At 41.8% G+C, this 22,840-nt stretch overlaps 2 pseudogenes across 1 annotated transcript in view; both read right to left on the reverse strand.

Annotated features, from left to right (window-relative positions):
* GUCY1B2 (guanylate cyclase 1 soluble subunit beta 2 (pseudogene)) overlaps positions 1-22,840 on the reverse strand; it is a 71,647-nt pseudogene that overhangs the window by 27,353 nt on the left and 21,454 nt on the right. The window contains exons 4-9 of the transcript NR_003923.2: positions 12,140-12,296; positions 7,731-7,830; positions 6,345-6,541; positions 4,839-4,950; positions 3,471-3,574; positions 2,237-2,453 (exon numbers count right to left, since the gene is read on the reverse strand). The product of NR_003923.2 is annotated as a guanylate cyclase 1 soluble subunit beta 2 (pseudogene) (transcript). The remainder of the gene's footprint in view (positions 1-2,236; positions 2,454-3,470; positions 3,575-4,838; positions 4,951-6,344; positions 6,542-7,730; positions 7,831-12,139; positions 12,297-22,840) is intronic.
* Positions 5,884-5,989, reverse strand: RNA5SP29 (RNA, 5S ribosomal pseudogene 29; annotated as a pseudogene).

Genomic DNA, 22,840 nt, shown 5'->3' on the forward strand with positions numbered 1-22,840 from the left:
CACAAATCTTCTCTTTCTATTAGTTCTTTCATTACATATGTAGTTAGTCCCTGCGATGAGCTAGGCACACTGTTTTAAGCATTGAGGATACAGCAGTGACTCAAACTGGCAAAAATCCCTGCCTCAAGGACATTACATTATGTCTTTTTTTCAGTTAATTGCACCTTCATCACCCAGTTACCCAATCAAGGAAGCTAATAATTATCCTAACGATTCTCTTCCACCCCCCACATCCAGTCACCAAGTCCTGCCTTAATTATCTTGTGAGTCTATCCTCCAATTGCCACTCCAGTGCCACTGCCAGAGTTTAGCACTTTAGAGTTTCTTTCCTGGACTCCAGAAGCAGCCTCTGTCTGGCCTCCCAGGATCCATTTTCTCTACACTGTGACCCATCCTTCACACACCTCCAGAGTGATCATTCTAAACATCAAATCTGATCATGGCAGACACTTCAGCATGTTTCCAGCTGCATGATAGAGTTCAAGTCCTCATCTTGCCAGCCTCCTCTCCCATCACTCCACTCTACACCTCACTCGGGTTCCCAGAACATGTCATTCTCCCCTTGGACATCCCCCGAGTTCTGCCTGTGCTTATCCCTGGAATAACTAAACATCCCTCTAATAGAAAGATAGCTCAGAATGTGTGCCCTTTCAAGGCATATGCAAAAATTTGCTCAAAAGGAATCAAAGACCTAAATGTAAGAGCTAAAACATAAACTCTTAAAAGAAAACATAGAAGAAAAGTTTCACAACATCAGATTTGGCAACAATTTCTTGGATATGGCACCAAAATCACTGGCAACAAAAAAGAAAATAGATAAATTGGATTTCATCAAAATTAAAATCTTTTGTGCATGAAAGGACACAACCAACAGTGAAAAGGTAACATACAGAATATATTTGCAGATTATATATCTGATAAGAGGTTAATATTCAGAATGTACAAGAAATTCCTACAACTCAACTGCAAAAGCAAACAACTCAATTAAAAATGGACAGAAGACTTGAATAGACATTTTTCTGAAGAATAAGTAGAAATGGCCATTAACCACATGAAAAGATGCTCAATATCACTAATCATTAGAGAAATACAAATCAAAACCACAATGAGATACCACTTCACACCCATTAAGATGGCTACTATTTTTTAAAAAGCAGATAATAAGTGTTCATGAGGATGGTGGAGAAATTGGAACACTTGTCCATTGATGTCCATGATGGGAATGTAACATAGAGCAGCCACTATGAAAATCAGTATGGAAGTTCCTAATTTTAATAAATTAAAAATAGAATTACCATATAATCCAGCAATGCCACTTCTGGATATATATTCCAAATAAATGATGGCAGGGACTCAAAGAGATTTGTACACCCACATTTGTAGCAGTATTATTCACAATAGCAAAGTGGTGGAAGAAATCCAACTGTCCATTGATGGGTGAATGGATACAGAAAATGTTGTATATTCATACAGTGGAATATTATTCAGCCTTAAAAAGGCAGGAAATTCTGACACATGCTACAATATGGATGAACTTTAAAGACATTATGCTAATCGAAATAGGCCAGTCACAAAAGGACAGGTACTGTATTATTCCACTTATATGAGGTATCTAGACTTGTCAAATTCATAGGAACAGAAGGTAGAATGCTGGTTACTGGGGAATTGAGGAAGGACAAATGAATTATTGTTTAATAGGCAGAGTTTCAGTTTTGCACAATATAAAAAAGTTCTGGAAATGGATGGTAGTGAAGGTACAACATACAACGTGTGAATGTGCTTAATACCAATGAACTGTACATTTAAAAATTATTAAAATGGTAAATTTTGTTATGTAAATTTTACTACAATTAAAAACAAAATGTGGGCCCTACTAATAGTGAGTTAGATGATCATGTTGCTACATAAAATACAGACATTAATTTAATACCAATAGCACCTCATGCATTCTGAAAATTTTGGTAACATATCAGAATTTTATAATTACATAATGTATATACTTGTATAATTATGTATGTAACTATATTACATACATAGTTTACGTCTAAGCCAGAGATGGTTGAGGAAATAAAATATATTCTTTACAGATCAAGTCAAGTGGAAACGTCAGAAAAAAGAAAACGTGTTCTCAACGTAGCCCCTACCCTACTTTTTAGGAAATTGGAAAACTGCCTCTTCCCTTTCGGATCAATCTCTCAAACAGGTGGGGAGCAACAGGAAAGGAGTGAGTGATTACCTTGAAGTTTGAGTGTAGTCCGACTTTGCCATGCTACAGGCATCATTTCTCTTCGTGTCTTCAGGACAAATTGACTGTTGATAAATCTGCGGATGCTGAAAATGTTGAAGGTAACTTGAGGATGAATGATGGAGAAATACTCATCCAGTTGAATATTCTGGGTTTGGAGTCCTGGTACGTACTTCTGAATGTTCACTCTGGCTTGCTTCACCTGTAGCTATCCACAGAGGACAGATATAAGCTGAGGAATAGAAAGCAACCTCCCTTCCCATAAACTTCCCCTTGGAAATAACATTCTAGCCATGTTCTGTGGCTCACTATCGGGAAAGGGGGTCAGTAATGGAATCAACATCATGGAAGTAATAAATTTTTTTGAAACAATCAAATCTGTGCTAATGTCTGAAAGAGAAAAGAATAATACGAGAGTGCTCAGAGGCTTATTTCCGACTAAAGAGAAATGAGGTTACAGCTCTCTGTTGGGCTAATAGTTCCTCCTTGCTCTCTGAGACAACTCTCTCTCTCACTCTCTCTATCATTTACTAATGAAGAAACTAGCAAATTCTATAGCATTGGATCTATCACCCAGGCCTGGGTGAAGAAATCCATCAAGGGGGTGGGGGAATACCTTTCACTGCTATCTCCAGTGAACACACAGAAGGAAGAAGTAAAATAGGTGTCCTTTAAATGAGTTCCTAATCAATTCAGTTGACATATATTTTATCCATAGAAATGGATTAACAATCAAACTTAAATAGTTATGCTCACAACTCTTACAGAGCAGTGGCTTGAGTTGGCATGACCCCTTCCCCATGTTCAAGAGGCAGAATGTGAAGCTGGGTGGGATGGAGACATACATGGTGGTCACAAGGATGGGAAGAGTTCATGGGTAGAATTCCACCCTATTGTTGCTACTGACTGTGTTCTGCTGTCTCTTTATGTAGTGAATTTTAGTGTCACTTCCTTTTCCCCTTTTTTCTAATGGTAAACTTTCCCATGCATTCACTAGTTCAAACCTCCCTTTCTACCCTATCAAGAAGATCCTGCATAATGGATTCTGGAGGATACCACAATATGAAAAGCAAATCAATGGTCCTGCCAGGATAAAGCCTAGTCTCCCAAGCCCTGGGAATTTCTCAGGGACTTGAAAATCTCCACTGTTCATGAAGGACTGTAAATCATGCTCACTTCCCTGGCTTAGCCCCAATTCTAAGCTACAGAGGGAAGAGTCTCTTACTGATTCATCGAATACAATGTGGAAAGGAAAAGCGTTGCAGAATGTCTTCTCTTCAATCCAGAGTCTCTCAGGATAAATTGGCTCAAAGGTGTTCATGAGATGCCCTGGACATAGAAAAAGGAAGTGCTGATGAGAAGCAGCTCCCGCCTCCACCCTTGCACAGAGCAGAGCTCGGGATAGGGATAGTATCTTAAGTGTTTCACAAGCAAAGTGCAATCTCACTTCTTTTGCATGGACTCCCTCAGCATCTCCAGATGGCCACAGCAATTCTTCTTCCAAATTAAAACAAACAGAAAACTTGCTACCAGGTTGAGAAGCCCTCCTGCCCCCTGCCAAGTTTCTGCCTGCCGCTGAAGAGTTTCTGGGCCAATTGAGTATGTCTCGCCATGAACACAGAGTCGGCATTGAAATGGTGACAGCCAGACAATGAGCTAGCAGAGCAGAGCGTGTGCTCCGGGCCCAGCATCAGGGACATTTGCCATGGAGCTTTTTAGACTGACAGTTTTGGGTGGCACGTGAAAATTTAACCAACAGTCCTATTTGGCAGGGGGTAGAGATTCGAAATGGAGCCTTTTTGATATGAAAATCTCCTAGACAAAGGATGTCAATTGCGTGTTTGACTCACTTGCCATGGCTTGAAGGACGCAAAATGCAGCCCTTTGAGCCCTGCAGACCTTCTCCCAGATGCGTGTCACCTGGCCCATTGAGTCGTGACGCAGAGCACCCTAACTCCCTTCTCCCAATGGATCAGAGCCCTTATTCAGACTCAGGCGTTAGGTGCTAATCGTTAGACGGGCTCAGTGCCCACAGGGGTACCTTAGCAAGCCTAATGCCTGCATTTTGCAAATGAGAAGATGGAGACTCTTGTCCAGGGTCACACAGCTCCTTAGGCACAGAGCCAGAAACTTGCTTTCTTGGCTCTTGATCTAGTGTCCTTTGCTTGGGCGACTAGGGTTGTTATCCACAGATCTCCAGTCCAGAAATGTGTCCAAATGGAGAAGGCCTGACTGCAGAAGACGAGCTGTGGAAAATTCATTGTTCCTGATGGCACATCAGTGCTCATCTTCCTTCTCTCCACCCATCACCTGTTGGGAGTGATTCCAATTGTGTCTCCAAAAACTTTTTCTTAGGACAGGGGAGATGATGTCTCCATGTCACCCGGCACAAATAATGAGAGGCAATGGAAGGACAATTAGAGCCTGACATTTTAAAGTTAAAAACCATGGTCACCAAATCCAAGCTTTGCAGAAACTAGTGCCAACACAATCACAGAGGGCTTGGCCCTGTCAGTGTACACTGGCCACTACTCCTGAGAATCAAGCAATCTTTCTGATCTCAGAGCTGAGCTTGGGAGAATCACTCACTTACCTTTTCCAAACATGACTATGCTTCTCACAACATCCCAGTGGGATTTTTTCACAGGACAAGCAGAGACATTCAAATATTTCTCCTTCATCTTGAGGAAAGCTGCCTGGAGGGCCTGCAGGTGGCAGGGAGACAGGTACCTGGTCACATGACTGGAGAAGCACAAACCCCATTTGCTGTGATGGGGTCCACCTTTAAATAAGGAACTGTATCCATGGCCAGAGGAACAGCATGAGGGCTTACAAGATCACTTCTACCAAGACTTTAGCGTTCCCGGTATTTTTTAATCAAATTAGTCCTCATGCTGTTTCTCTATCAAAGAAAGCAATAACTTTTTAGAAAATCTCAAGAGGGAACTAGGATGATATCTGGCAAGAAAATCATGCACGAACATTTCTTCCTGTGGTTGAAGATTCTGCAGTGAACAGACTCTGAGATGGACTTTGAAAATACTCTAAGGAATCAGAGACTAATCCTAATCTGGGTATTTTCACAAGCTATGTGCATGGAGAGCTGTTCAGCTAACATACATGGTAACTTAAGCAGGTAATGATCACCCTATCAGTTGCAACTGGGGTGGCCAAGTACAGAGTCTTGAGTTGACTCAGGACCTATGACTGGTTCCAGCTGCAGAAGTGGGCACTGAAGACTGGAAAGATCAATTTATTTGAGGAGGATTGAAAAAAAAAAGCCATCAAATTCAAATTTCAAATCCTTCATATGGTTATTGTTATAGGTGAAAAATTGTCCAGGCTCAGGTGCATCCCAGAATGCTTCCCAGTATATATCCACTTAACCTTAACCCAGCAATTCTCAACTGGGAATGATTTTATCCATTACCCCCACTACGCAGACACTTGGCAATGCCAGGAGACATTTCTTTTTCTTTCTTTTTTGTTTGGCCACAAATGAGGGGATGAGGTTCTACTAGTAGGAAAAGACCAGGGCTGCTGCTAAGCACACTATGACGTGAAAGACACCCCATCAACACCAAAGAATTATCTGGTTCAAAATGTCAGCAGTGCCAAAACTGAGAAACTCTGCCTTAATTCCACTATTAGAAGGTCCAGTTGGTCTCCCATCCAAGCACTAACCAGGACCAACCCTGCTTAACTTCCGAGATCAGTCACGTTCAGGGTGGTATAGCCGCAGACACTCGTAAGTGGGAGGTGAACAGTGAGAACACATGGACACAGGGAGAGGAGAATCACACGCCGGGGCCTGTCAGGGGGCAGGGGGCAAGGAGAGGGAGAGCATTAGGACAAATACCTAATGCATGTGGGGCTTAAAACCTAGTTGATAGGTACAGCAAACCACCATGACACATGCATACCTATGTAACACACCTACACATTCAAAACATGTAACCCAGAACTTAAAGGAAAACGTAAAAAACAAAAACAAAAACAAAAAGGTCCAGTTGATTCTGTTGTTTGCATAGATTTTTCCAAGACTCGTAGCTCTACTTAAGTGCAACTGTTCTTTCTAAAGGCACAGCAAACCCAGTACCTCTTGGTCTCTCTCCATGCCCTGACTGTCTTGTAACCTTTTTGGCTTTGTCTTTCTCATCTTCCTGTGAGCCTTCTGTACAATCAGAAACACAACATGCTCCTTCTTCCCTGTCCTCTCCACTTCTTCATTCATGTCAAGAATGTCCATGATTACATCAATATCAAAGAAGTCTTTGGCCACAGCCTCAATGATACCTGCAGCAGAAGGACACCTATTGTCGAGGGATGGCCGAAGGCAACTTTATCAGCAAAAATCATAAAATAATCAAATGGCAAAACTTCTGATGAATATTCTGAAGTTCACCAAGCCCAGGCCCTGCTTCAAATCAGACATCAGTGACAGCCAATTAAATAAAAATATGCAGAGACTGAAGTTATACATGTTTGGATACCAAATATATCCATGCCACTTTAATTTCTAGTTTGGCATCTATTCATTTGTTTGTTATTTCAGGTAGGCATTTAACTCATTAAACAAACAAATAAACCTAGAGATAATGTAAGCAAAATTCAGTTGTAAAAGCATTAAGGATCAAGTTCAAAAAAGTGTTCCCCTGGGAATCTATCCCAGGGTTATATACAAAATATAGGGAAAGAGCCAGGCACGGTGGCTCATGCCTGTAATCCCAGCACTTTGGGAGGCTGAGGCAGGCAGATCACAAGGTCAGGAGATCGAGACGATCCTGGCTAACACAGTGAAACCCTGTCTCTACTAAAAATACAAAAAATTAGTAAGGTGTGGTGGTGGGCACCTGTAGTCCCAGCTACTTGGGAGGCTGAGGCAGGAGAATGGCATGAACCCGGGAGGCAGAGCTTGCAGTGAGCCAAGATCGCGCCACTGTACTGCAGCCTGGGCAATAGAGCGAGACTCCATCTCAAAAAAAAAAAAGAAAAAAATATATAAATGGAAAGCATGTATGAAGATGTTCATGATAGCACTGTTTACAAAAGCAAACGATTAGTATCAATGGAAAATTTAATAATAGGGGATTAGTTAAGATAATTACAATATGGAATATCATTCGGCCACTTAATATGTGGTTTTAAAGATTATGTGGAAACATGCTTTTTCTACAATGCTAAATGCAAATAAAAAGCTGATACAAAATAATATACGCAGAATTATCACAACTATGTAAAAGCCTGTATGATTTAAAATGTTGAAAGAAAAGTACAAATTACTCATTTTTGTGGAATTTTGGAAACTTATTTTAAAAGCTCAAGGACATTGGGAGCAGTGGTCAAGATGATATGAAGTCACACATTCTAAGAGTTTTAACTTCTTACCCGTAGCCAGTTATTAGCCATCCTGGAGAATCTATGGGGAAACCTTCCTCACTTCAGAAGCCCCATAGCTCTGCGGCCAGCTAAGCCATTTCCATACCTGGTACAATGTGGCACAGACCACTTCTATCCGAGTAGTAATGGAGAAACATTTTCCCATCTGCTCCTCTCTCCACACGAAACGATGGTGCATTCATCTCCTAATTAAAAGACACACATTTTTCCCAGTGGACACAAATTGTGTAAATTATGCTTTTGACGCTTTGTGAAACAATAGTATTTACCCATTACATCATACAGAGCTATATGCCAACCCTCTCTCCAATCACATAGAAACTCCCACTGTTTCTGCTCCTGTATGTCAGGAATTTTATACTATACCTACTGTACTTTAAACAACTCTATATGGCAAGTACTAGTTCCATTTGAAGAGGAAGAAACTGAGGCTCAGGGAAGGCAAACCTAGGTTAATGGTAGAACAACATTTGATTCCCAAATGAGCCTTTGCACCGTGCCATGCTGTTTCTACCCATATTCCAAAAGCAGCTGTCTGCTGGTAACAGGAAGCCTTAGTGAGTTTCCGCCGCGCTTGGCCTGTGACCAAGTGACCATGGGCATCTTCACTTTCCAACACATCAGGGAATCAGAGAATTTGCAAGTAGAATTAATCAATGTCTTGTTCTGAAAGGATAATGTCTTCTGTGATATCAATTTGAACATTTAGAAAGTAGAACCTTCCACCGGGCGTGGTGGCTCGTGCCTGTAATCCCAGCACTCTGGGAGGCGAGGCGGGCGGATCACGAGGTCAGAAGATAGAGACCATCCTGGCTAACACGGTGAAACCCCGTCTCTACTAAAAATACGAAAAAATTAGCCGGGCATAGTGGCACATGCCTGTAGTCCCAGCTACTTGGGAGGCTGAGGCAGGAGAATCGCTTGAACCCAGGAGGCCGATGTTGCCATAAGCCGAGATGGCGCCACTGCACTCCAGACTGGGCGACAGAGCGATCTCAAAAAAAAAAAAAAAAGTAGAACCTTCAAGGATACATCAGAAGAGATCCTCCCCTTTCTCCAGAAATGTTGACATTCAAGTACCTATCATTTCACAGTAAATGAGATGTATACTAGGAAAGAAGGATAGAGATTTTGCCTAGGGGAGTCTCTAGCTAGTTAGAGGGCAACTCAGCACCCTGGACACACAGCTTTTGGTCCAAGTGAGGGAATAGGTAAAGGAGATGGGTTCCTTCCAAGATCTTTGTCGTCTTCCATGGTGAAATGTTGTTAGTTAAAATGGGTTTCTTTTTTTTCCCCAAATACTTTTTTATTTTTATTTTTTTTAATTTTTTATTTATTTTTATTTTTTTGAGATAGAGTCATGCTCTGTTGCCCAGGCTGGAATGCAGTGGCACGGTAACGGCTCACTGCAGCCTCTGCCTCCTAGGCTCAAATGATCTTCCCACCTCAGGCTTCTGAGTAGCTGGGATTACAGTCACGCCACCTCCATGCCCAGCTACTTTTTTTTTTTTGTATTGTTTGTGGAAATGTGGCTTTGCTGTGTTGCCCAGGCTGGTCTCAAACTCCCGGGCATAAATGATCTTGTCCACCTCGGCTTCCAAAAGTGCTAAGATTACAGGCATGAGCCACCACGCCCAGCCCTCAAATACTATTTTTTTCTAATTCCAAAAGTATGTACCTAGAGAAAGTACATATATTTATCTGTATGTATGTGTGTTTACATCTTGACAAAATGTAAAGAGTAGTTGAGGCAGCACATATAAAAAGCATAAATAAAATAGGAAATTAACAGTTAATTTAAAAATTATATCCAAATCCTACATAGTGAAAATAAAGTAACAGAATACAGAGGCCTGAAAGAAAGTCCACGTGATCCTGCTTCATGCCCCTCACTCCTTACCCCCTGCCCAGAGACACTTCCAAAAGTTCATGCTTTTAGTTCTTCTGGTCAATGTCACTAAGTCTCTAAATAATATAATTACACTTTTATTTCTTGCTTCAAATAGGGCTTTTTAAAAGTGGAGAATTAGGGCAAAGAATAACAGAATAAAAAAAATGCTTTTGCCTAAAGAGACAATCTATAATACTTTGCCCAGAATAAAGCACTATATAGCTGTTAGGTATCATTACAGAACAGAATAGAAAGCCCAGAAATAAGGCTGTACACCTAAAGCCACGTGATCTTTGACAAAGTTCTTATTATTCCAAAGAATAATGAGAACAGCACAGGGCAGGATCTTTGGAGACAGGTGTGGGTTTGGGTCCAGCTCAGCCACCATGCCTGGGTGATTTGGGGACAGTTACTTGAACTTTCTGGACCTCAGTTTTCTCATCCGTATAACAGGAAAAATAAGACTGCCTACTCTTATGGCATCAAGAAGGTAAGTCAATGTTGACACATTACTTAGCCCAACACCTGCCTCATAATTAGCACTCAATGAAGTTTGGCCAAAGCATAACAAGATTAAAGGCTCAGTTATAACCAGAAATGTATACCTTAAAGGCACTGCCAAATTACTAGATAGACACAAAAAAAGTGAACATTATCTTACTTTGTTATTTTTGCCTAAAGAGACAATCTATAATACTTTGCCCAGAATAAAGCACTATATAGCTGTTAGGTATCATTGCATGTATTTTCTTCCAACTTGTATATTATAATATTTAAATATTTTATTTACCTCATTATGTGCAAAATGTCCTCAAATACCACCAGATAAGTTCTATTCTATTGCTTCTCTAGCATCACTTATAAGTGAGAGCTAAATATTGAATACACATAGACATAAAGATGGCAACAACAGACACCGGGAACTACTAGAGGAGGGAGGAAGGGATAGGGTCGAGGGTTGAAAAACTATTGGGTACTATGCTCACTACCTGGGTGTTAGCGTCAATCATACCCCAAACCTCAGCATCATGCAATAGACCCATGTAAAAAACCTGCATATGTACCCTCTGAATCTTTTTTAAAAAATTGAAATTATAAAAAAGCAAAGGAAAAAGATCATAGGATAAAAAATATATGTGTTATAAAAAAATATTAAAAGGGCCTAACTCTATTTCTTTATATCCTAATTGTTGTGCTTTAGCTAAGAAATTGAAAGGAAGTTGTCATGCAAATTATCGTTAATTCTTAAACTGGCCATATTGAACAGAGAGAAAAGAAAGGGGAAGGAATAGAGTTATTATTTATTTATGGAAAGCTGATTTTTCTGGGCTGATTGCAATGCTAGACTTTTCCATCTTATCTCTTGTAATCCACATATTGCTATGAGGTAAGTTATCTTTTCCCTATTTATTCCTTTTTGTCTCTGTTTGTGTCCAATACCTTAAAAAGTACTTGATACATAGTATCACTCAATAAATATTAGTTACCCAATAAATATTATTAAATAAAATAAATTGAGATTCAGAGACGGCAACTAACTTGTCCAGGATCGCACAGCTGTTAAGTGGTAGAGCCAGTGGGACAGTCTCATGGGCCCATCTGACCCCATAAGCAGGGCTGTTTCCACTCCCTCTACCCTTGAGTAGTTCACATGATAACAATAGGACAGGCCCAGCTATTCATGCCCAACTATTCATGATTCATAATTGAAGTCAGTTAAGGCTTCCAAGCCTCTGATTCCTTATATGAAAAATGGAGAAAATAATACTTTTCCCATTTATCGTCTATGGGGGGGTGTAAGGGTTGCTGAGGCTTTTTAACATCCACAATCCCATTTTGTCCCCATGACAACCCTGAAAGGGTGGATATGAACACCAATATAGAAATGGTGAAGGAAGATCTCGGTGAAATATATAAGGCCTTAAAATTAAACTATGTTCTCTAAAGCAATAAACTATTATTATGATATGTATAAATGCTCTTTCACCTTTTCTTGTCTAAAAAATAAAAGAGAATCTAGGCATTTGAATTTCCAGTGATCTCTACAAACAAGAAACCCAAGGAAAGAACTCCAGAAGGATATATCCCAGTAGGGAAATTAGTTTCCTAACACCTCAGTCAGTCACCCATGGGTTAATCAGAGTTGGATGGTTTCCGATTCTGGCTCTTAGCCCTGTCAAGTCTTCCCTTCTGATACATGAATAACATGAATCTGGCTGCATATGCAATTTATCAGCTCCATCCTGGCCAGGAAACCTTAGGAGAGCTTTTGCAAATGCACTGAAACCTGACTGTTTTCCAGCCTTTGTTCCAATTGTAATGAGTCTCCAGGATTTAATTCCAAATCAACACCACACCCTATCTGAAAAGGCCATCCCTTCGGTTTTTGTGAGCCAGTTTATAAAAGTGGCCAGCAGGTGTTTCTTTTTCATTCTCTTCCAAAAAGAACTCCTGAGCCCACCAACACCAGGTACCAAGGATTCTGCAGATGGGAGGGTTCTCCTGCAACCGTGCCTCTGTTGGGGGAGGCGGGGAGCTGGCCCAGGACTGCCACAGCATTTGCTTCCTCTTGGGCAGCCAAGACCAGACTCAAGTGGCCTTACCTGATAAGAGAGTGCCAGGTAACTGTGGAGGGCATCCAGGTTTTCAATAAACTCCATGAGATTTCCTCCCAGTGTCCGTAGCATCCTGTCATAGCCAGACATCTTCAGAATTGAAAGTATTCTCCAAAGAGTTTCAGGATGGCTTCCATGGAGACACCTGTAGAAACCAAAGCATACCCCCTAAATAAAATCTCCTGGAGGTGTGTGTTGTCCTTTGTGTGGTCTTCATTTATTTCCAAAGGGTTCACATCCTGGCTGTGTGACACTATCGAGCTACTCTCTAAGCCGTCACTTGCCTCCTCGGTAAAATGCCAATAACCACATTGATGTCATGGGCCCTTGGGAGGAGCCCCGTGCAGCCTGGCACTGAGTAGGTGCTTGTGAAACATAAGTCTCCTTGACAAATACTTCCTCAAAGTCGAGAAGGGGATGCAGAGATGCTGTACCCGCTTAGCTGCTGAAGCCAGTGCCCAGAACAAGCTTCACTCTGGGTGGGGAGGGCGCGACCCTCCACGAACACTGCCAACACCTCCCACATCTTTAAATGTAACAGTCAGTCTCTAACAAGAATACAAGGATGCCTCTGAGAAATAACTAATACACAATGAAAAAACTATGCCTTCAAGGCTACAGGATCCTGATTTACCAAAAAGATGATACCAAATACTTGCAGTGTCTTTCCCTTTCTCTCCTGACCTCCCTGTGAGGCCCAGTGTTCCTGTTCCATTCTCCATAAAGATTTCTCTGAATTCTCTCTTCCTAAGTGTTGCATTTTTTTTTCTTCCTAATTCATGGTAATTCTGGAGAGAAGCAACCCGATCCTACACGTTTTCTGTGCTAAACACAGCATAGGTGCCTGATGAACACCTGGAGGTAGATTTGCGGCATTAGTTGGAGCTGCTGCCCACCTCCCCGCTCCCCAGTCTACACTGTTGGAATAGACAGTAAGCAAGTGTCCACTTTATGGGAAAGACAGCAAACATTTTAAAAGAATGTTTTATAGTTCTGACAACACACATTAATTACTGTTCTGTTACTCAATGTTTGCCCAGCTCTTATAAGGTAGCTAACCTTATTATCATGTCCTTTTTACAGCTGAGCCTGTTGGGGCTGAGTCATCTTTGTGAATTGACTGCAGTCACATAGAGTTGCAGAGGCCAGATTTGTTGAAGAGGCTCCAACTCTAAGTTTAGCACTTTTTATACCACATCCCCCAGCCTCTGAAGCAGCAATGAGAGAAGCAAGGAGTCTCCCCAAGGGAAGCGCTGCTTATGCGTTGGCATCATTGACACAGGAGACAGGGCATCCATCCATGCTGCTGGTCTGGAGATCCTGTGAGAAACACCCTCTTATTTACAATGGGGCTGTGACACATGTAAGTCCTGGGGGCTGGGGCAAATGTCTGTAATGCCCAGGTTTATGGAAGGCCTGAAGAGCTCACCATCACCAGTATCTGTGGTTGCATCCTTGAAAAACTCTGTGATGCTCTGGCTGGATTTGGAATTCACAGCAAGGGACATTCCAGGTCTCATGAGCTATCCAGGGCTAAATCCTACAGAGGACAGACGAAGGAGGTCTGGGCACTCTCCAGCCCCTGCTTGCTTCCTAGGATGGTCTGAAGAGCAGTTTCCCTACAGCTCATAGTCCACAGCCAGACCATGGGGCAGATAATTGTTCTGTAATCTGAGCAGGATAGAGTCCCCACTGAATTGGTCTAGTTTTGTCAGAGATGAGTTGTACATATTTTCCAAGATGAGTTATACATATTTTCCAAAAATTGATTAGTCGGATCTCAATCTAGACGAAGCTTGGGATGGTAGAGAAGCCAGTGGTAATGGCCTGTGTTAATTGCCTCCGTTGGCTTCTTTGCTTGTGGGTGCATCCTGGCCGGCCTCAGGCAGGCTTGTCTATACACTGGTATAAATTCAAGGACCACCTGCTAACCCCTAGGGGATCTGAGACAAATTCTACCAAGTTCCTTTCCAGTGCTTGAGTCTCTGGGAGGGGGACTGCTAAAAGGTAAACAGACAGATGGGAAATTGTCCTTCTGCTCTCCTGCTTCCATCCCTCTGTTACCTCTGATCTAGCTTATTCAGACTAAGAAAAAACAGCTGTGCTGTGCATCCTGGAGGCTGGAGCTCTGAGCAGGTGCATCCTGTTACCTGCCAGGAAAAGCAGGGGTCCCAGCGGCCCCCCTTCTCCCAAGAACCTCTGCCAGGAGGACTGGGCTGCGTGTAAGCCAAGCAAAGTTATATTCAAGTAAGAGTGGCAGCTTTGGGTAAAAGACTGCCTGTTTGACTTTCAAATCTTTAAACTTAAAAAATCCATGAAGCTGTTTGTTCCAGGCTCTGGTTATTTTGTTTGTGGATGCCCAGCTCTGTTAAAAGGAAAGGACATCTGGCTGAGAGATGAACTGTTTCCCAAACAAGGATCTTGGGTTTGAGTGTGGTGTTTTCCACCTGTAATGGGTTTGGAGCTTCTTCTAGAATTCTTAGTTGAGAATGCTTGTCCAGCAGGGAATAAAGGCCGCTTTTTTAAAAAAATCAGCACCTGTTTTAGTCTTTTATACAGTTTCACATCAGTGTATTTAAGATTCCAAGAACCCGCTAAGTCATAGGGGATCCAAGATATACAGGAAATGGTTAGAAACTGCAAGAAAGAACTAAACTAACTTAGGTGCCTTAAAATGTTTTTCTGATAGTGCAGGGGAGACTTTATACTATGCTTAGTATTCTTTAATGTAAGAAAGAAGGGAAAACAAGGAAATAATCATCTATCTGCCTACTTGTGCAAAATTAAACACCAGAAGGATAAACCTGGATCTATTGAGATTGGTTACCTACAGGACATTGGTAGGGAATGGGGTGGAAAGATTAGAAAAATTGTGGAGTTGGGGAAAATGACATTTTTCTGAGCATAACTTTTTGAACAGTTCTGGTTTGGGGAGTCATGTTAATGTTTCATATGCTTAAAATAAATAAAATATAAGATCAACAAGGATAGAGAAAACCCCTAAGATGGAGTACAAACAGAAACAAATTCACAGAACAGCATTTCAACAGAACAGTTTTGAATAACATAATCACCCAGGAAAAAAATTAACCCAGTAATATTTGAACATAGTATTTACACTACTGTGTCTTCAGGCCAAAAACAAAAAGAACTTTAAACAAATATTTTACTGTAGTTAGTAGGCTTCCTTTTCACAGCAGTGTGGGTTAGCAATTCTGAAACTATGTTCTGAACAAGTAAATATATTGTGGATAGTGGGAGCCAGGTTTTTCCCTATCTGAGAATGAAGTTACAATTATGGAAAGGGGAGGAATAGAATGAACCCTGTGCCTCTGGATTAGAAAATCTAACATAATAAGACAATGAAATCTATCATGGTTTTAGATATATCTATATTTTATATATCTATATCTATATCTATATTTTATATATCTATATCTATATCTATATTTTATATATCTATATCTATATTTTATATATCTATATCTATATATAGATAGATATATAGATAGATATAGATTATATCTATATATATTATATTATATCTATATATTATATATAGATATATATTATATATATAGATATATATATAGAGAGAGAAAGATGGATGTATGTGTGTGTATGTGTGTGTGTGTGTGTGTGTGTGTGTGTGTGTATATGACATGTATTTTCCAGCACTGTCCACTAAGAGGGCCTAAAAGCAGTGATATCCCAGTAGCAGTGGGGTTGCCTAATGTCTAGATCTTAGTTTTTAAATGCTCTTCTCCTGTAAAAGGAATCAGGGCCTTGGAGAAATGGCAGATTCCAGGGCTGGGGCAGGGAAAGGATGAGATCAGCCTATAACATCTTGTTATGCAAGAAGGTAAAGAAGTGATCAAAGAATGATGGGGACATGTCAAAAGGACACAGGGGCCAGTTTAGGGTGGCTCTCACTGGCTAACTCTTGCACAATTTGAGCATCAAAATAAATAATAAAAGGAAAGGATTACAGCCTGTTTTTAAAAAATAAGAATCACAAATCTACATTGATATAAGTAAATAAATACATGGGGGAGAGGGGGAAATTCTTCCTTACAGAAACTCAATGAATAAATACAAAAGGAATAATATTCTTAGAAAATCACCATTTGACTTCCATCATAAGTATCAATTCAGACAAGAATCACAAATAAATACTAAAACTATGAAAGAGGGAGTTTGAGAAATGACAAGATATTTGCATAATCTGAAAGTATCTCCTCACAAGGTACTAATTACAAAGGGAAAATGTAACTTTACAGTGGAGAAAGCTGGCAAATTCTACGTAAATCAAGTGATCAAAGTTAGCCTCACTAATAATAGGACAGATCAATGAATGGAATATGCCTCCTGATATGATAAACTGGGAAGGAAAAAGATCACGTCTGTGATCTTCCTGCCAGGAAAGCATAACCTGAATTATATCATGAGGAATATCAGATAATCCTCAATTGAGGGACATTTTGCAAAATGTCTGACCAGAACTTTCCAAAAATACCAATTTTATAAAACATAAAGAGACTCAGAAACTGTTCCAAGCCAAAGAATACTGAAGAGACACGATAAGTGACATGATTCAGGATTTTCTTTTGTTCTAAAGGACATCACTGGGTCAACTGGAAAACTCTCAATAAGGTCTATAGATTAGATAATAGCACTATATCTATGTTCATTTCCTGAGTTTGATTGTTGTACTGTAGTTATTTAAGAGAATTTTTAAGGACAAGAAGGCATCACATTTGCAATATACTAACAATTTCAAGAAAAAAAGTATAAATCTAGATATAAAGAGAAGGATAGACACTATATGGTAAAATGTCAACATTTGGGGAATATGGATAAATACTACATGGGAATTCTTTGTACTATTCTTGTAAGCCTTTTGCAAGTTTGAAATTATGTCAAAGTAAAAAAGATTCTGTTGATTGCTCTGAAAAGACCATAGGGAATCTTACATAATAAGACCGTAAAGACCATGTTTATCCATGGCCAGCTGAAATACAGCTGCAGCCCAGGCCTCTGTAATGTTATGAATTTTGTTAGTTATAATCAGGGCATTATCAGTACATTTTTAATGTCTTTATCTTGTTAGAGACTAATACTGAAATATTTATGGATGAAATTGTGAGAAACCTGGTAATTGCTTTAAAACACTCCAGAAAAAATAAAACTAGAAAAAGAGTGGAGGAATCAGATAGATGAAATAAGACTGGCAAAATATTGTTAATTAGTGAAGCTGGGTGGAGGGTATGTGGGCTTCTGTACACAATTCTCTCTACTTTTGCGTATGTATTAAAACATTTTTTTTAAATAAATAAAGGAGTTGAGTTTTTTTTGGTTGGTTGTTTTTTTTTTTGTTTGGTTGGGTTTTTTTCGTTTGTTTTTTTGTTTGTTTGTTCGGTTTTTTGAGACAGGGTCTCACTCTGTTGCCCAGGCTGGAGTGCAGTGGTGCTATCACGGCTCACGCAGCTTCAACCTCCCCAGGCTCAGGTGATCCTCCTGCCTCAGCCTCCTAAGTAGCTGGGACTACAGGTGTGTGCCATCACGCCTGGTTAATTTTTGTATTTTTTGTAGAGATGGGGGTTTTGCCATGTTGTCCAGGCTGGTCTTAAACTCCTGGGCTCAAGTGATCCACCCACCTTGACCTCCCAAAGTGCTGGGATTACAACACCCACCCAAGACTTTTTTTCCAGGAGGAAAATGATGGTCACAAAGCTTCTATGCTTGATTCCCCAGGTGTGGAGACCTCTAACAAGCTTTTACATTGGAGTGTTGCATGAACTCAAACTTTCTGACTTAACAAGCATGGGTCTTCTTTGTCACTGGGAAACATTTGCTTCTTGCTGGGTTTCAGCTCAAGGTACTGGAAAGAGTAGAGTTGGGCTGTCCAGGGCTGGGGGACAGAGAGCGCCTGTTGAAGCCCCAGTGAGGCTGGCAGGGACACCATAGCCACCAAAGCAGAGCCTCCTGGACAAACAGCCCACTCAGGGCCAGACTTGCAAGACCCCTGCCCACCTCCCGTCACCCAAGTCACAGGCAACAAGAGCTATTCCTCATGGCACTCTTCCTGAGTCACCCAGCAAAACATGTGCTCTTCAACAGGAAAGAGAAGTACATGCTCTACATTTGACAAAGTTTTCCGTTGAAAATGGGTAATTTTTCCCCCAAAGCGTTGGTATCCAAAGGATTACTCTTCAGATACCTGAAAAGAGCCAGAATCTCACATACTCTTTTTCTCCAATGATATCACTAATGTCAGGCATGAGTTAGTTTATGGGGAAATATTTTGGAGTAGGAGAAAGAGTAGTCTAAGAAAAGGAAAGAAACATCTGCCCATGTCCATGCTGTAGTTTGCAAGGAGGAAGAAGACTCTAAATTAGGAGGGTTGGGTTTCAGAAGTAGTCGTAAGTTTATACAGGCACAGAGAAAAAATAAACTGGAAGTCGATTAAGGCAGCTCAGGAAGGTGGTGCTCTGCAGGGATGAAGCAATTCCGCTGAAGCCTGGTAGAGAAGAAGCCTCCTGGTTCCCGTCAAACCTTGGAACAGAGTAGTCAGCCCTACCAGGGCCACAGCAGGGGGCCAGGGGTCTATCTGGTGGCAAGCAGGGGTGAGGGACAGGGCGAGGTACCTTGTTGTGTACCCACTCGGTGTCAGGCATTTTGCTCACCTTATTTGATTTCTTCTGTAGGACAGATGAAACCCCCTGGGTTGTTGTCCTACAGAAGAAATCAAATAAGGTGAGCAAAACGTCACAGGTATCATTGCTGCATTACCAGGGGAACATTTACCCCAGGTTACATTATCAGGAGCCGGTGTAGCCAGGGGGCTCACCCAGGTCCGTCTGATTCCAAAGCCCTTGCTCTAGACATTGTCGACTTCCCCTCCAGTCTGTGGGATTAAGCATCAGCCTTGGAATCAGCAGACCTGAATTCAAGTCTCCATTCGTGGCTGGTTGCACAGCCTGGGTTACTTGTCCCATCCTCAGAGGAGAATAGTGAAGAGCAAACGTTATAATGCCTGATTTCAAGACGTTGTCAATTTTGTGTTGTTCTTATTTTTAAAGATGTGAGTGCAGAGAGGCTTGCTGGCATTTGCTGATAGCTAACTGTTGAAACACATTTTACTGTGGGTGTCTTCGCAAGCAAAGTCTAGACGGACACAGCTGTGCCAAATGGCTGTTGTGTGTTGTTTTGAATTTTGTCGCTTCAGATCACTAATAACCCACTTACACACTAAGTAGGCACTTATTCATATACAGAACAATTCCTTATGCAATGCTCAACCTGCCATCTGGTCCCCTCCTGAATTATGCTAATTGGAAAGCACAGAGCTATGCAGTGGCAGAGCGGTCTGGAAAAGTCCCAGCAATTGCTTCAAGGTAGGGAAATTGCATTCTGAAGCCCACATGGAAAGCAAAGCCCTCACTAGTGGTGACTAAGCACACTTTTTCCCTTGTCAAAGGGAGGATTTTCAACTGACCAGTATATTTTGTTAGACAGTAAAATGTCCTTCCTGTAGCCTTTCCTTTGGATGGGTCTTGCTCTCTCAGACTCATGGGAGTTGGAGACATACAGAATCACGACGGGCTTCCTGGGGCTGTCCTGATTCCACATCTCATACATGTGTTCACTCGATTTTGCATCCCAACTTCTTGTTTGAAAAATGCATTCACCATACTCATTTACTCTTTCAGATAGATATAGGCCAATAGATGTTATGGAAATAAACTACAAGAAGAAAAGATTCCTGACATTCAAAGCTAGGCAGAGAGAAACCACAGTGATGTACGTTGGCTTTCGGTGGAAAGGTGATGTGGGCCAGCCCACACATTGGTCTGTAGACTGGCTGCTGCCTCTACACATGTTGGTTGGGTTGGGAATGTGACGGCAGTGGGGCAGGTATGTGATGGCATCTCACTGCTGGAGGTACTGCCACACCGTTTGATGTACATGAGCACAGACAGCCACAAAAATGGACTGGGGTGATATGATATATACAGAGTATTTCTTTCTGGAGATATACAAGCTGATTCAAGTTCTTATATTAGTCCACTAGGGCCACCACGACAAAATGCCATAGATGGGGTGGCTTAAACAACAGATATTTATTTTCTCAGAGTTCTGGAGGTCGGAAGTCTGAGATCAAGGTGATAACATGATTACTTGACTTATAGAGGGTCACCCTCTCACCATGTTCCCATGTGACAGGGAGTGAGAGAGCCAGTGCTCTGGTATCTCTCCTATAAGAGCTCCAATCCTATCAAGAGGGCCCCACCCTCATGAGTTCATCTCAACCTAATTATTTCCCAAAGGCCCCATTTCCAAATATGAATTTGGGGCATGGGGGCACAATTCAGTCCAGAGCAGTTCTTAGGTTAAAAGATATTTTTAGAATCTTGAAAAAGATCTGCATCCACCCTTGAGAGCATGAAATGACCAACTTTTCCTGTGAAGGGCAGATAGTAAATAATAAATGTTTTCGGCTTTGTAGGTCATATGGTCTCTGCGCAGCTACTCAGCCCTGCCACTGTAACACAAAAGCAGCCATGGACGATGTATAAACAAAGGGGCACGGCTGTGTTCCAATAAAACGTGACTTACACAAACAGGCAAGGGCCCAGATCTGGCCCATAAGCTGTATGTAGTTTGCTGACCACTAATCAGAGAGCTCAGAACATAATTTTTTTTTTTTTGAGACAGAGCCTTGCTCTGTTGCCCAGGCTGGAGTGCAGTGGCACGATCTTGGCTCACTGCAGCCTCCGCCTCCCAGGTTCAAGTGATTCTCCTGCCTAAGCCTCCTAAATAGCTGGGATTACAGGGGCAGGCCACCACGCCTGGCTAATTTTTTTTTTTTTTTTTTTTTTTTTTTTTTTGCATTTTTAGTAGAGATGGGGTTTTACCATGTTGCCCAGGCTGGTTTTGAACTCCTGACCTCAAGTGATCCACCCACCTCAGTCTCCCAAAGTGCTGGGATTACAGGCGTGAGCCACCGCACCTGGCCCATAATTTATTTTATTTTATTTTATTATTTTTAAGTTCCAAGGTACATGTGCAGGATGTGCAGGTTTGTTACATACATAAATGTGTGTCATGGTGCTTTGCTGCACAGATCAACCCATCACCTAGGTATTAAGCCCAGCACGCGTGAGCTAATTTTCCTAATGCTCTCCTTCCCCCCGACCCCCACAACAGGCCCCAGTGTGTGTTGTTCCCCTCCCTGTGTACATGTGGAACATAATTTTTTACCACAGCCATTTGAAGTGAACAGCAAAGCCTGTCTTCTTATAAGGGACAGTATCTAGAGGTACAAAACATAGAAATACCCCCATCCTTCCTTCAGATTCAACATTTGGCTGACATTTACCAAACACCCAGTATGTGCCATGCATGTTGCTAAGTGCCTTACATTTGTTATTTGATTTAATTCATTCCTTCCCACAACCCTGTAAGGTATTATTCCTTTTGCAGGAGATCAACTCTCAGTGAAATTCTAGCCCAAGGTCACACAGCTGGTGTGACGGAAAAGAATCCACCCTCCATTCTCATTCTGGAATAACAACGAGATGTTCTTTCGCAGAGGGCTCAGACCAAATCAAGACTACACGATACAGCCACTACGTCCTTCTGCTGCTGGGATCCCTTGGAATAAAATCAAGAAAAGACTAAAGGTGGGCTTAATTTCACTACCCATTGTAAGCTTTTTTGCCGTTTTATTTCCTAAGCTCTGTCAAAACTCCAGATTTTCAGCTCAAAAGTAGTCATCTCTCATTACAGAATTTCCACCTAATGATTTGTATTCTTCCTGTGGAAGGAAGGTTACTAGATGCTCCTCTTACTTAGCTAGAAGAAAGGAGGTAATTGCAAACCACTGGACTTGCTCGTGGACCTCCTGCCCTCACTAGGATCACAGATGTGCAGAATTGTCAGCCACAAGGGCAGCACCTAGGCTTTGCCTATGTGGGGTGGACATATTAGGATCAAGAGGGGATCTGTCTGTCTGGTTTGCAAAAGCATATTTAACATCGTAATCGCATACTTTTAAAAAAAATTAAAGTGATGCTTAAGAAAACAAAACAGGTAATCTCTTTGGCAGGTGTGTCAAGCATAAAGGCTGACAGGTGACCCTCTGGGGTGGCTGTGCTGCTGCCACCTGTTGAACAAAAAGGCCATAGCTGGGGAGCAGAGCTGAGTCGAGAACCCAGGTCTCCAGGCCTGCAGCCCCTGGGAGCAGCACAGTGCTGTAAAGAGGACACATCCCGCTCTCAGACTCGAGCGCAGAAAGCTCGATGCTGTGTGCTTTTTGATAACCCAGCCCCACAGAAACCTCCCCTGGTGTTAGCTGCTGGAGAGACAAAAGGGCCTGGGAGTCCCCCCAAGACAGGCTGGACAGGATAGGGGTGAGGTTTGCAGGTATCACTGACACTTCCCAGTTCCTGGGCCAGCTTTGGCCTAGAATCTCTCTCTGTAAGCTTCTTTGGAGAGCGGAGCTGGTTGGTGGATTCGGGGAGAGGCCCAGCCGTGATTCTTGGGAAGCCACGTGAGCCCTGTCTGCCAGCTGCCTGTGTCCTCCCTCTAAGTGCTGCCGTGGTGGCAGGCTGGGAACTGGCTTTAGGAAGCATCCGGGAGGTGTTGCTGCTCTTGGCGCCTGAGTTCCAGGAGCTGAAGGAGCAA

This window comes from Homo sapiens, chromosome 13 (assembly GCF_000001405.40).
Source record: "Homo sapiens chromosome 13, GRCh38.p14 Primary Assembly".
In the NCBI taxonomy this organism is placed as follows: Eukaryota; Metazoa; Chordata; class Mammalia; order Primates; family Hominidae; genus Homo; species Homo sapiens.